The sequence below is a fragment of the Homo sapiens genome, chromosome 2, assembly GCF_000001405.40.
Source record: "Homo sapiens chromosome 2, GRCh38.p14 Primary Assembly".
NCBI classification, from domain to species: domain Eukaryota; kingdom Metazoa; phylum Chordata; class Mammalia; order Primates; family Hominidae; genus Homo; species Homo sapiens.
The window spans coordinates 61,852,955-61,866,513 of record NC_000002.12 but is presented as its reverse complement, the minus strand read 5'-3'; the positions used below and the strand labels follow the sequence as shown (position 1 = coordinate 61,866,513).

Below are 13,559 nucleotides of genomic sequence, written 5' to 3'. Positions count from 1 at the left end.
GTCTCGCTGTGTTACCCAGGCTGGCGTTTAATTCCTGGGCTCAAGCTATCCTTACCTTGGCTTCCCAAAGTGCTAGGATTACAGGCATGAGCCACCATGCCCAGCCTAACAGCACAAAGCTTTTTGTTCATAGGTTATGCCTAAATAATACAAATAGTGTGTATAGCAGCATTCTTCGAATTCTTCCAGCCGGACGTGGTTGCTCACGCTTGTAATCCCAGCACTTTGGGAGGCCGAGGCGGGTGGATCACAAGGTCAGGAGTTTGAGACCAGCCTGGCCAACATGGTGAAACCCCGTCTCTACTAAAGGTAGGAAAAAAAAAAAAGCCGGGCATAGTGGCAGGCACCTGTAATCCCAGCTACTGGGGAGGTTTCAAGAGTAGTATGAACATTGTATTACCCTCCACTTAGATTTAGCTATTAATTGACCTTTTGTTACATAGTTAGGTAACAGAAGTCATTGCAGTATGCAAAATGGAGACAACACCCAAAAACTTTAGCACAAAGGAAGCCTAATAAGTTTTACCCATGTTAAATGGTTATGAAGTACTGTATTAATACGTCCATCTCAAGAAAAAAGAAAACAATTGTAAGAAAACAGTTCTGTAATGTCCAACACCCAATCCGTGTTCAGATTTTTCTGACAATCTCTAGAGCAGGGGTGTCCAATCTTTTGGCTTCCCTGGGCCACGTTGGAAGAAGAATTCTCTTGGGCCAAACCATAAAATACACTAATACTAACAATAGCTAATGAGCTAAAAAAAAAAAAAATACATATATAAAATGTTTTAAGAAAATTTACGAATTTGTGTTGGGTCACATTCAAAGCTGTCCTGGGCTGCTTGTGGCTTGTGGGCTGCAGGTTAGACAAGCTTGCTCTAGAGTGTCTTTTTTTTTTTTTTAATTTTTTTGAGATGGAGTTTTGCTCTTGTCGCCCAGGCTGGAGTGCAATGGTGTGATCTCAGCTCACTGCAACTTCCGCCTCCCAGGTTCAAGCCATTCTCGTGCTTCGGCCTCCCTAGTAGCTGGGATTACAGGCACGTGCCACCACATCTAGCTCATTTTTGGTTTTTTGTTTTTTTTTTTTCAGTAGAGACGGGGTGTCACCATGTTGCCTAGGCTGGTCTTGAACTCCTGACCACAGTTGATCCACCTGCCTCAGCCTCCCAAAATACTGGGATTACAGGTGTGAGCCACCATGCCCAGCCTGAGCCCACACCCAGCCACCTTTTTCTTACTCAGCCTCTCAACAGATTGGATGATGCTGACCAGCACTGGGGAGGGCTATCTGCTTTATTCAGTCCACCAATTCAAATGTTAAATCTCCTTCAGAAACACCTTCACAGACACTCCCAGAAATGTTTTAACCAAATATCCCTTGGCCAGGTTGACACATTAGGCATCATAAATCTACCCACTGTCAACTTGGCCATCATATACATCTTTTTTTTTTTTTTTTTTTTTGAGACGGAGTCTCGATCTGTCACCCAGTTGAGATCCGGTGGTGCGATCTCGACTCACTGCAATTTCCGCCTCCCGGGCTCACTCCATTCTCCTGCCTCAGCCTCCCGAGTAGCTGGGACTACAGGTGCCCGCCACCATGCCCAGCTAATTTTTTGTATTTGTGGTAGAGACGAGGTTTCACCATGTTAGCCAGGATGGTCTCAAATCTCCTGACATCGTGATCCACCCGCCTCGGCCTTCCAAAGTGCTGCGATTACAGGCATGAGCCACCGCGCCCGGCCATACATCTTAAACCATACTTAAACCGTCAAATAAGGTAATAACATGGTCATAAATCCAGCTGACATGATACAACTATCCTGTGTAGGACCAAAAACACACTAACCCCTTCCTCAGAAGAAGAGTTAAAGTCACTGAGTGAAGTTTTACTCTTCTTGATGCCCCATAACCAAAATACTGTAATACAAAAAATACACCTTACATTATTACAGGATAAGGAAATAATGAGAGGACAGTATATGTATATATATCCACATCCATACTCATGACAAGTGAGGAACTACTCATGACAATTACAGCACTCGTTTCTGTAATGTGATTTTGGTTGTAGCTGCTATTGATAACTACCTTCTATTACATGCTCTGTTTTCCCTTTGTCTTCAGCAAGCACCTCAACTGGTTGTGGTCCTTTCCTCAGTGGGGTGATCCAAATCATTCTGAAGGGCCTGGGCTATTAGTAGTTCTACCTTATTTGGGCGGTTGTTATTTTCCATTGGCCGTAATCACAGAGCATGGTAATACTAAGAGACACTCTACGGGATCTTCTGTATTCCAGACATGCTCTTCCTTTCCTCTATTGTGGAGAAGTAGTTCAGTTTCCCCTTGGTAGTCAGTATCAATCACCCCAGCCAGCACTGTAGGTCCCTCTGCATGTTGATTCAAAGGTGCATAAGGAGCCAAACATGGCCAACTGGCCAACTTAACTTTTCATTTCAGTGGAATCTTTGTTATGTCTCCTGGTGGAAGCATCCCTCCCTCTGGAACTAAGACCTCTAGACCAGGAGAGCACAAAGTCACAAGAACAGGAAGCACAAATTGTGTTAGTGGGTCACTGGGTGTAGTAGTGAATGGTACCACTCCCATTTTCACCTCTTGATTCCTAGACCCATGAATTATGGCTATGAGAGAACAACACTGTATATTGGGTGCTAATTCAGAGTATACAGCCTTCTGGAGAATGTCCCAGCCCTGCAAAGTGTTGCCACCTAGCTGGCACTGTAATTGAGTCTTAAAAAGCTATTCCACTGTTCTTTAAAACCAGGCGTATCTCATGCCTGTAATCCCAGCACTTTGGGAGGCCAAGGCAGGTAGATCACGAGATCAAGAGATAGAGACCATCCTGGCCAAGATGGTGAAACCCCGTCTTTACTAAAAATACAAAAATTAGCTTGGTGTGGTGGCACGTGCCTGTAGTCCCAGCTACTCAGGAGGCTGAAGCAGGAGAATCACTTGAACCTGGGAGGCGGAGGTTGCAGTGAGCCAAGATTGCACCACTGCACTCCAGCCTGGCAACAGAGCGAGGCTCCATCTCAAAAAAAACAACAAAAAGCTATATCAGAGTGATGGGGAACATGGTAAGACCAGTGAATTGTATGGGCTTGGGCCCATAGCCACATTTTTTTTTTTTTTGAGCTGATGTCTCACTATGTTGCCCAGGCTGGTCTTGAACCCCTGGGCTCAAGCTATACTTCTTCCTGCTTTGTCCCCCAGGTGCTGGGATTACAGGCATGAGCCAATGCACCCATAATCCCAGTGTAACTAAGATCTCTATTTTCAAAGTAGCCATTACTTTCTCAAATTTTCCATGTAACTTTTTCTCTTTAATGTATTAAGTAAGTGGCATCAAGATAAATCTAAAACGGAGTTTTAGAAGGGAGAGAAGCAGCACAAGATAGGGGAAGAAGTGAAGCAATCTTAAGGTTTCCTCTGGAATCTGGCCTAAGCCTGATCCCATAAGGATCTCCGGAGGATGGATGACAACATATAGCTGTCCCATCAGTATGCAAGGGGTAGCTTAAAAACTTGTTTTTGTAATAATGAAAAGCTGTAAACAACTCAATGTCTGTGTAGTAGAATGGTGTATCAGTGATCAATTCATATATAACCAACTCCTCCCTCAAACTTAGTGGCTTTAAACATTATTTCATATGATTTTGTGGGGCACCTGGACACAGATGGGCAGTTCTTCTGAGATCACGTATGTGGCTGCATTTAACTGGGAACATCTGGGGCTGGCATGTTCAAGATGTCTAGTTTTTAGCAAAAATTTTGAGCTACACAAACAAGAAAGTATGGCTCATATATGGGGGGAAAGAACAGTCAATATAAACTGTCCCTGAGGAAGCCCGGATGCTGTGCATATAATAGAGATTTTAAATCTGCTACTATAAATATATTCAAAGAACTAAAGGAAACCAGGGTTAAAGACCTAACCAAATTATTCATGAGAATGATGTCTTGCAAAAAGAGAATATCAATAGATAGAAATTATAATTTAAAAAACAAAACTTCTGAAGTTGAAAAGTACAATAACTGACATGAAAAATCCACTGAAGGCACTCAGCAGATTTGAACTTGCAGAAGAGAATCAGCACACTTGGAGGTAGGTCAACTGAGATGACCAGGTTTGAAAGAACAGGAAGAAAAAGAATGAAGAAAAATGATCAAAGCCTCAGAGACCTGTGGGACCCCCCCCACCACCATCAGGTGTTCCAACATACTCATAATGGGAGTCCCAGAAGAAATGAGAGAGAAAAAGGGGCAGAATGAGTTGTTTTGTTTTGTTTTGTTGTTGTTTCGAGACGGTTTGGCTCTCGTTGCCCAGGCTGGAGTGCAATGGCACGATCTTGGCTCACCGTAACCTCTGCCTCCTGGGTTCAAGTGATTATCCTGCCTCTGTCTCCCAAGTAGCTGGTATTATAAGTGCCCGCCACCACGCCCAACTAATTTTTGTATTTTTAGTAGAGACAGGGTCTCCTCATGTTGGCCAGGCTGGTCTTGAACTCCTGACCTCGGGTGATACACCTGCCTCGGCCTCCCAAATCCACTGCATTATAGGCGTAATGCTGGGATTACAGGTGTGAGCCACCGTGCCCAGCCATGAGTACTTTAAACTCCCTGAATTTGATGAAAAATATGAATCTGCTCATCCAAGAAGCTCAACAAACTTAAAGAGATCCATATTTAGATCCTCCTAGTCAAATTGTCAAAAGACAGAACACTTTTTCTTTTTTCTTTAGACAGACTCTCACTCATTCACCCAGGCTGGAGTGCAGTGGCACAATTTCAGCTCACTGCAACCTCTGCCTCCTGGGTTCAAGCAATTCTCCTGTCTCAGCCTCCCCCGTAACTGAGATTACAGGTGCACGCCAACATGCCCGGCTAACTTTTTTTGTATTTTTGATAGAGACTAAAATGGTTTTGCCGTGTTGGCCAGGCTGGTCTCAAACTCCTGACCTCAAGTGATCTGCCTGCCTCAGCCTCCCAAAGTTCTGGGATTACAGGTGTGGGCCGCTGCACCTGGCCAACAAAACACTTTTTTAAGGTTTTGTTTGTTTGTTTGTTTTTGTATGCAATTTAGTGGTTTTTAGTATGTTCAGGGTGGTACAACTACCATCACCACTATCTAATTCCAGAACATTTTCATCCTCCCACACAGATGCTCCATTCTCCTTAACAATCACACCTCATTTCCTTTCTCTGCAGCCGCTGGCAACCACTAAATACTTTCCGTCTTTATGAACTTTCCTATCCTGAACATTTCATATAAATGGAATCATATAATATGTGGCCTTTTGTGTCTGGCACCTTTTACTTTGCATTGTATTTTAAGGTTCATCCACCTTGGAGCAGGTATCAGAAGTTCATGCCTTTTTTTTTTTTTTTTTTTTTTTTCAATGTAAACCCCTGCATCTTTTTTTTTTTTTAAACATGGTGAACTTCAACATAGCAATTTTTCTTTTTTCTTTTCTTTTCTTTTCTTTTTTTTTTTTTTTTTTTTTTTTTTGAGACAGAGTTCCACTCTTGTCACCCAGGCTAGAGTACAATGGCGCGTTCTCAGCTCCCTGCAACCTCCGCCTCTCGGGTTCAAGCGATTCTCCTGCCTAAGCCTCCTGAGTAGCTGGGGTTACAGCCACCCGCCACCACGCCCGGATAATTTGTTTGCATTTTTAGTAGAGACGGGGTTTCACCATGTTGGCCAGGCTGGTCTCAAACTGACCTCAGGTGATCCACCTGCCTCGGCTCCCCAAAGTGCTGGGATTACAGGCATGAGCCACTGCACCCAGCAAACATAGCAATTATTACAACAAATGTTATAGTCTGAAGCTCAAACACAGTTTTGCAATTTTGAAATTAATTGCATACAAACCAAATAAAATTTACACAATAACAGACATTTCCATCTAAGACTTTGGGAGCATTTGAGCCTTCCCCATTTGATCTCAGGGGAAGATCTGAGATCTTTTCTTGTGCTGAACAGCACCAGAGTTGTTGTGGGAACAGCAATGGCTTCAGGAATTACAGCCATTAGGCCATTAAGGCTAGCTGCCACCACAGCCTTTTCCTTCTCATGTTTTTTGTGCTTCATGTATTTTTTATACTTTTTATGTTGCTTGTCCCATTCTTTGTCTTTCTGACTCCTTCTTCATAGGAATTCCTTGCTTGTGGTGGGCTTGATGTTTGAGCAGTCACACTGGTGACCAGTTTGTAGAGTAGAGGATGACTAAGACTGGACAGAGGATGGAGATTCTGGGTTGTTTGTGTTTTGTTTTTTCTTTTTCAGCTTCTGGCTCAGGAGATCGTGAGACAGACGGGATAGGACTTGAGGAGGTCTGAGGAGCTTCATTTGGTTGTGGTAGCTGTGCCTTCCAGGTAGACCCTTTCCTGTGCTTTGATGATGATGAAAGAGAACATCTCTTGGGGACTTGGGGAATCCTTTGTTTGGGAAGTGAAGAATGGGAGATCCTGTGCTTTGTGGGTGGAGAAAGTGATGCCCTTTGTTTTGGAAGGTGAAGTGGAGAAGAAGAGTATCTCCTCTGTTCTGGAGGAGAGTATCTTCTTGAGGAAGGTGAGTGTTGATGTGGGAAGGAAAAGCAGCCCTTCCTGGTGGTGGTATCAAGAGACCTGCGCTGCAGCTGAGGAGGAGTGAAAGAAGGAAAATGTGCCTTCTGGTGGGTGTTGGGGAGGGACTTCTCCTCCGTCTAGCATAAGAGGATGTCTTCCGGTGCTTTCACGGTGATGAAGAGGCACTCTGGGGAGCTGCCTGCCTGCCTATTTTTCACACGGGACTTCTTGAGTCGCTCACCATCATCTGAGGAGAGGAGCAGAGTCAGATGAAGACTGCTAATTTTGTCATCTATATTGATATCTTTGCTGCACAGAATCTGTGGCAGCCATTTTGCTACCTTTATCTTCTGATTCGGATAACAACTTTTCTAGGCTTTGGGTGCTGATGAAGGGGACTCTTTTTCTAAGTACCTTCACATTTTGTCACTTTACTAAGTTCTTCGTGGAGCTGCAAAACCACAACTTTTTCTTATATAGTTGGCTGCTGGGGTATTGGGGAATGATGCATTTTTGGCAGTGGAGTTGCTGGAGGCAACAGCCAGTGCACATTCACCTTCAAGGATTTGCTGAAGGAAAGAACTTACTAGTTTTTCAGGGGGCGCTGGATGTCGTCTTGGGAAGCTTCTCAAGAGGACAACGAGCTACTCCTACACACGATGCTGATGAGTGCCTTTTTCATCTCACTGGAGATCTGCTCCCGCTATGGCTTGGTGGAATCCTTCAAGGAGATGGCCACTTTATTGACTCTGCTGTTCTTGTAGGTGAATATCATCTTGATGGGATCAATGGCGCCATCTAAAGCAAGTATGATAAGGAAAGCCAGACGCATCTGTGATAATGATTTGGAAAATGACAGAGATCTTGGTTGAATCTTCTTTAACTTTTCAGATTTGTTTGTTTCTGGAGAAGGTTCGTTACTTGCTCTGGTACAAGTGCAGGTTTGGGAACTTTCAGATGGCACTAGTAGAAGTGGCCTTTTGTACTAGGTTCTTTCACTTTCTTGAAAGGTTCTGGTAGCGCTGGAGTTTTCTCCTTTTCTGCAGCTGGGGAAGGTCTCTGCCTCTTGGTTCTGTGATGGGGAGATTGAAAATGACTGTGCATTCTCTTGCTCCTGACAGGGTAGGATCCTCTTTTAGGAGAAGGAGATCTGAATTTACATTTTCTTGGGCTTTAAGACCTCTCCCCTTTTTCTCTGCTTTCTTTTTTCTTCTTTATCCTTATTTTTCTCCTTATATTGCTTTTTCATAGACACCAGGTTTTTTTTTTCTTGTTCTGTCTGTCTCTGTTTTTTTTTTTTTTCTTCTTTCTTCAGTTCTAGGAAAGCAGAAGAGATTCCAGTGATGTCTTCTTGTGCGTTTAACAGCAGGGACTACAGTTCTCCCATAATTCTCTAGTAATTTCATTCAAAAACCCAGTCAGATTGCTTTGTATCATTTTGGAGTCTGGATTTTCCAAACACATAAGGGAGTGCAGTGTGACATTGGGATGTTCATTTTGCTGAGACCTAATACAATGATGATGTTATACTTGAGATGCAAGGAATAACTTCCATTTTGGTTCAGGTCTCCACTTCCACCTGGTTGAATATAAACTCAATCACGGCATCTTCTTCAAACCCAAGGATTTCCATTATTCATATTGTTATCTAAGTCTTTATTAGCCTCCAAATTTACTTTGCTTATGTCTGCCTTTTTTCTAGGCATCCTGCAAATTTCAGCTCCTTCAGTAGCATCTATTTGTTGCTGAACCAATGATCTTGTCTTGCACTTGTTTCTTGGAAGGTCATTTTGCTTCTGAGCTCTGAGATTGCTGCCTAACCCAAAGTGCACTGGACCTCCTGGACCAGAGGGAAAGCCCACTTGTTGGGGGAGTGGCTCAGTAACATTTCATTATATGCATACACCACATTTTGTTTATCCATTCAACAGCTGAAGGACATGTGAAGTGTTTCCATCTTTTGGCTCCTATTAATGCTGCTTTGAACATTTGTGTTAACTACAACAAAGATCGAGGCTGGGCATGGTGGCTCATGCCAGTAATCCCAGCACTTTGAGAGGCTGAGGAGGGCGGATTGCTTGAGCCCGAGACCAGCCTGGGCAACATAAGTGAAAACATAAGTGAAACCCTACAAAATAATAATAATAATAATAAGCTGGGTGTAGTGGCCCGCGCCTACAGTCCCAGCTACTCTGGAGGCTGAGATGGGAGGATCTTTCAAGCCCGGGAGGCAGACGTTGCTGTGGGCTGAGATCATGCCACTGCATCCCAGCATGGGCGACAAAAAAAAAAAAAAAAAAAAAAAAAGAAAAAAGATTGAGACACAGAGGTCAAAGGAAATAGCATTTAATTTATTTGAGAAACAAAGAATTGCAATTCACGTACAGTGAATCAGAGCAGCCCTGAATAGTGTCTCATAAGGCAAGCACAGGAGAGGGTTTTTTAAATAGGGGATTCCCACAAGAAGTTTTCAGAGGCAGTTCATTGGCTGGGTAGAACTCTTAAATCTCAAACCCATTCTGATTGGTTGGTTAATTAGGGTACTCACGCTGAGAGATGATGAAGGCTGGCAGATACTTACTGACTTCAGTTGTTTCTACAGGTCTATTCGGTGGTTTGACTTTTTAGCAGGTGTGAATGCAATCCCCTAGCAATCTCCTGACTCCACTTTAGAAAGCCTTCACCTTAGTTACTTCATTTTCTTCCACACTGCACAAGTTTTTGTGTGAACATGTTTTCAATTATCTTTGGTATATACCTAGGAGTGAGTCATATAGTAATTGTATATTCAACTTTCAGAGGAGCCGTCACAATTATTTTTAGCGGGTTTATAGCTTTATTTGACATATATGACAATTGGCAGTTAGTTCTCATCCACACTGACTATCTAGATTTTTGAAAGTGGTAACAGGTATACAGGTAACCACAGTATTGAGCTTGTTTGGTGAATTTTCATCCTTGTTATGTTTTCTGAACAATCGCACATGTACATGGTGTGGGACATTCCTTATTCCTTTGGCCCTGATAGCCTTGTTAAGCCTGGTATCAATGCACACATCTGGAGTGCCCATCTTCATGGCAAATTTCTGAATCTCTTTGAATGCCCACAGAGCATGCTTCTTGAAGCCCACTCCATGGATGTGAGCTAGTGACCCAAGTGTGTTCTTGGGTCACTACCTTGTTGATGGCAGAACAGCTCATCTTCTTGCCACCCTTCTTTGCAGGAGCCATTCTGCCAGGCCCAAGATGGAAAGGAAGAACATGAGGGACGGTGGGAGAAAGAAGGCCTAAACTTTTAAAAAGTGGCTGCACCATTTTACATTTAAGACATTTTGACACATTGTATTTTTGTTGTTATTTGACTCTCTAGATAATTTCTGCCATGACTTTTTCTGTAATGCACAAATTGTTTTTTGAAGAGTTTTAAATTTCCCAACTAAAAAGGCTTTTCTAGTTATTTTTCTTTTATAATGTCTAACTTGGCTGGGCGTGGTGGCTCATATCTGTAATCCCAGTGCTTTGGGAGGCCAAAGCAGGCGGATCACCTGAGGTCAGGATTTTAAGACCAGCCTGGTCAACATGGTGAAACCCTGCCCTCTACTAAAAATACAACATTTGCTAGGCGTGTTGGCAGGCACCTGTAGTCCCAGCTATTCGGGAGGTTGAGGCAGGAGAATCGCTTGAACCTGGGAGGCGGAAGTTGCAGTGAGCCGAGATCACGTCACTGCACTCCAGCCTGGGTGACAAGGAGACTCCATCTTAAAAAAAAAAAAATTGTTTTGTTAATTACAATAAATTATGTCAAAAACAAAGATAATTTCTTAAAACTCTTCACTTTCTTTTATGTTCCTTGCATCTACTGTATCTGTATGGTGGAAATACTATATAATGGTGTGCTACTAGACATCTTTTCTCAAATTCTTATTAAGTGATGTCACATTGGTGGCTTGAAATTGGCTATGATGGGAATATTGACATCATGGAAATCAGCAAAAGCTAAACATTGGACATTTAAACTTAAGAAACGGATGTGGAAAATATTAATGCAGAGTAAACTTAAAAGTTTGTGTTATCTGTAGCCTTTACATTGTGACTTGCAGAAAAAATTAAGAAAAATTATTCCAGTGTTAGAAAATGATTATCTATTTCAGCAAAGAAGTTGCTCATAACATTGACAAGTGAAATTCTGACATAGATCTTGGATATGTCACTCTCATCTTAATCACAAATAAAAACAAAAATATTAACCAACATTCATGTTGGAACTAGGTTGTTAAACAATTGCAACCATAAGTTGGCCACAAATACAGGAGTACAGCATAAACCAACGAAAGCATTCTGAGAGAAGCAATTGTCTATGAGGAATTTACAGTAAAGAGAATAGGATATTTCATTATTTATAATTCATCTGCTATAATTCCTTATCAATACTTTTGTTGGTGGTGGTGGTGGTGAGACGGAGTCTTGCTTTATTGCCCAGGCTGGAGTGCAGTGGCGCCATCCCGGCTCACTGCAACCTCCGCCTCCCGGGAGTGCGCCTGTAATCCCAGCTACTCCGGAGGCTGAGGCAGTTTTGTAGCCACAAAACTGGCTGCCGTGTCTGACTGGAAATTGCTCCCCTGGAAACTTGGCCACACCTGGCGGTGCATATCTCATGGTTCTGGCTCTGGCTTCTGCTTAGAACCCAGTCAGCATCTGTTCCAGCATGGGAAGCAACTGTTCAGCTAAAACCAAGAGCAGCCTGAAGGAAGTGGGGACGTAGGAGACTTTGTAGGTGCTCACACCCAGACAGGAGAACAAAGGTTTGGTAAGGGCTCAGACCTTAGAGACGGGTTCTCGACGATGTGCAGCGCATAACGAGGAAAATACTGACCGGAGGGGGCCGGTCGTAGGGCTGGGGAGCAGGAGGAGGGCAAAGGATAGAGAGGGGGTAGATAGGGAGTAGATAGGGGGCGGCAGCCTCGGCCTCAGTAAGCAGGGGCTCAGGGAGCAGATGTCTGAGACTGCACCACGTCCGCTATTTTGAGGTTTGGCTTCTCTTACTGCCACGTGGTGCAGAGGGAAGGCGCCATTTGATGCGTCCAAATCCCGAGTGGGAAGAGAAGATACGGATGAGGGAGATGGATGTGTCTGTGGTGACTCTTGGGCACTTGTGCCGTTCAATCCTGTCACTCTCAAGCTGAAGAACCCAAAGCAAACGCCAGGTTTACAATACCTGCACTATCACTCATTAGTGGGAGGGTCAGGCGCCACCCAACTCTGGGCTTTTATTGGTCATGTCAAGAAAAAAGCGAGAGGGACAACTGGGAGCCTCCTTCTGATTGGTGGATTCCTGCTAGCCCTCAAGTCAATCAGAGTAGAATGTACCGCCCTCCTTCCCACTCTGGCCCCCGCGGGAGACATGTTAGGTAGCGGGACGCCAACCTTGTCACTCTTCTGAGACCGCCACCCAGTAACACGCCCTGCTTTCCTCCGCCGCCGCCGTCTCCTCCATCAACTGTCTCCTTCTAACATGTTATTGCAGTTAATAAAAAAGCGTTCTTTTCTTCACAAAAGCAGTTGTTTCATTGTATAATGTGAGAAGTCTGCGTTCAGGCGGTTAGACGCAAAGGAGTGGAATAAGTGCCCTGTTCAGCCTGCCAACCTTCGGAACCAGCCAACAGACTCGGTACTGACTGCCATGATCCAGTAAGCACCCGACTCGGGTCTCTGGCAGCCTGAGTGGATTTTGCGTGACTTTTGGTCCCTGGCGGCTCCTGTAGCGTCCCCAGTTACGGCGCCCATAGCAACCGGCTCCCTAGCTAGGCGCCCCCGGGTTGCCAGGGGCCGCACCAGCTTTCCCGTCCCGGGCCAGCGCAGGCGCTCAGGCCTCGGAGGCGGGGCGATGGCCACCTCCCACCGAGTGGCGAAGCTGGTGGCCTCCAGTCTCCAGACCCCGGTAAATCCCATCACTGGAGCGCGGGTCGCCCAGTACGAACGCGAAGACCCCTTAAAGGCCCTGGCGGCAGCGGAGGCGATCTTGGAGGACGAAGAGGAGGAGAAAGTGGCTCAGCCCGCTGGGGCATCGGTAATACTGGGGCGGGACTTGGGCTGGGACCTCGCATGGGCTGGGTGCAGGCTGAGGGCTGTCCGGTTCCCCGCCCAGCTGAGGGCAGGCTGGTAAACGCGGGTCCCTGTGCACATAGTCCCTACTTGGTGGTCCTGGCCCAGCCCCTTCTCTACGCTCACGAAAATTACTCTAAATCGAGGCGTTGAAAAGTGTTTTAATTTTCACCAGTCTGTTGTAAAAGCTTCCTAGACAACATTTATGTTACTCTGCTTCTGGCAAGTGCAAAGTATAGAATTTTACTCTCTACTCTCCAGCATCTCGGGAATGGATATATAGAGATATATCTGGCTATATATAGTAATTTGAGGAAAACTGTTCTGTCAGGTGTGTTTCGTTATTACCTTAAGATCTTGGTTATAAGCGGATCTCAACATAGTGCTCTAAAGATGTGTGTTTAAAACCATCACGTGTTCACTGGCTAAATCAGACACGGATACAGATAAGCAAATCACTGAGGTTTCAGTGTTTCCTAAACAGCTCTTTAGGGTACAGCGAGACGGCCTTTTCACTGATCAGTTTTCATTGTTAAATCTGTTGTGGACACCAGTCCAGCAGGTAGAGGGCAGGGTCTGCCATCTGCTCAATTCACTTAAAAGATGGGAATCTTGGCCGGGCGCGGTGGCTCGTGCCTATAATCCCAGCACTTTGGGAGGCCGAGGTGGGCGGGTTACGAGGTCAGGAGTTCGAGACCAGCCTGACCAACATGGTGAAACCCCGTCTGTACTAAAAATACAAAATTTAGCCGGGCGTGGTGGTGCGCCCCTGTAATCCTAGTTACTCGGAAGGCTGAGGCAGGAGAATCGCTTGAACTTGGGAGGTGAGGGTTGCAGTGAGCTGAGATCTCAGACCCAGTCTCAAAAAA

At 44.7% G+C, this 13,559-nt stretch overlaps 1 protein-coding gene and 2 pseudogenes across 7 annotated transcripts in view, besides 5 other annotated features; 1 reads left to right on the top strand and 2 right to left on the bottom strand.

Moving 5' to 3' along the window:
• LOC100533678 (serine and arginine repetitive matrix 1 pseudogene) lies at positions 6,366–8,402 on the bottom strand (annotated as a pseudogene).
• Positions 9,102–9,151: a silencer, noted in NCBI's record as "silent region_11532". NCBI's record gives its function as "represses an Ori minimal core promoter by ATAC-STARR-seq in GM12878 lymphoblastoid cells {active_cell/tissue: GM12878}" and the evidence as "EXISTENCE:reporter gene assay evidence [ECO:0000049][PMID:35858748]".
• Positions 9,452–9,819, bottom strand: RPL31P30 (ribosomal protein L31 pseudogene 30; annotated as a pseudogene).
• Positions 11,261–11,310: an enhancer, noted in NCBI's record as "active region_15841". NCBI's record gives its function as "activates an Ori minimal core promoter by ATAC-STARR-seq in GM12878 lymphoblastoid cells {active_cell/tissue: GM12878}" and the evidence as "EXISTENCE:reporter gene assay evidence [ECO:0000049][PMID:35858748]".
• Positions 12,051–12,280: an enhancer, noted in NCBI's record as "active region_15840". NCBI's record gives its function as "activates an Ori minimal core promoter by ATAC-STARR-seq in GM12878 lymphoblastoid cells {active_cell/tissue: GM12878}" and the evidence as "EXISTENCE:reporter gene assay evidence [ECO:0000049][PMID:35858748]".
• The window catches only part of FAM161A (FAM161 centrosomal protein A), a 53,821-nt gene continuing 52,715 nt past the window's right edge, over positions 12,454–13,559 (top strand). For all 7 annotated transcript variants that reach the window (XR_001738972.3, XR_007082540.1, NR_037710.2 and 4 more), the window contains exon 1: positions 12,454–12,655. Coding sequence is in view for 3 of the 7 variants with exons in the window: in XM_047445962.1 (XP_047301918.1) it covers positions 12,473–12,655 (183 nt within the window). In the remaining 4 variants the exon portion in view is untranslated. The remainder of the gene's footprint in view (positions 12,656–13,559) is intronic.
• Positions 12,521–12,680: an enhancer, noted in NCBI's record as "active region_15839". NCBI's record gives its function as "activates an Ori minimal core promoter by ATAC-STARR-seq in GM12878 lymphoblastoid cells {active_cell/tissue: GM12878}" and the evidence as "EXISTENCE:reporter gene assay evidence [ECO:0000049][PMID:35858748]".
• Positions 12,841–12,970: an enhancer, noted in NCBI's record as "active region_15838". NCBI's record gives its function as "activates an Ori minimal core promoter by ATAC-STARR-seq in GM12878 lymphoblastoid cells {active_cell/tissue: GM12878}" and the evidence as "EXISTENCE:reporter gene assay evidence [ECO:0000049][PMID:35858748]".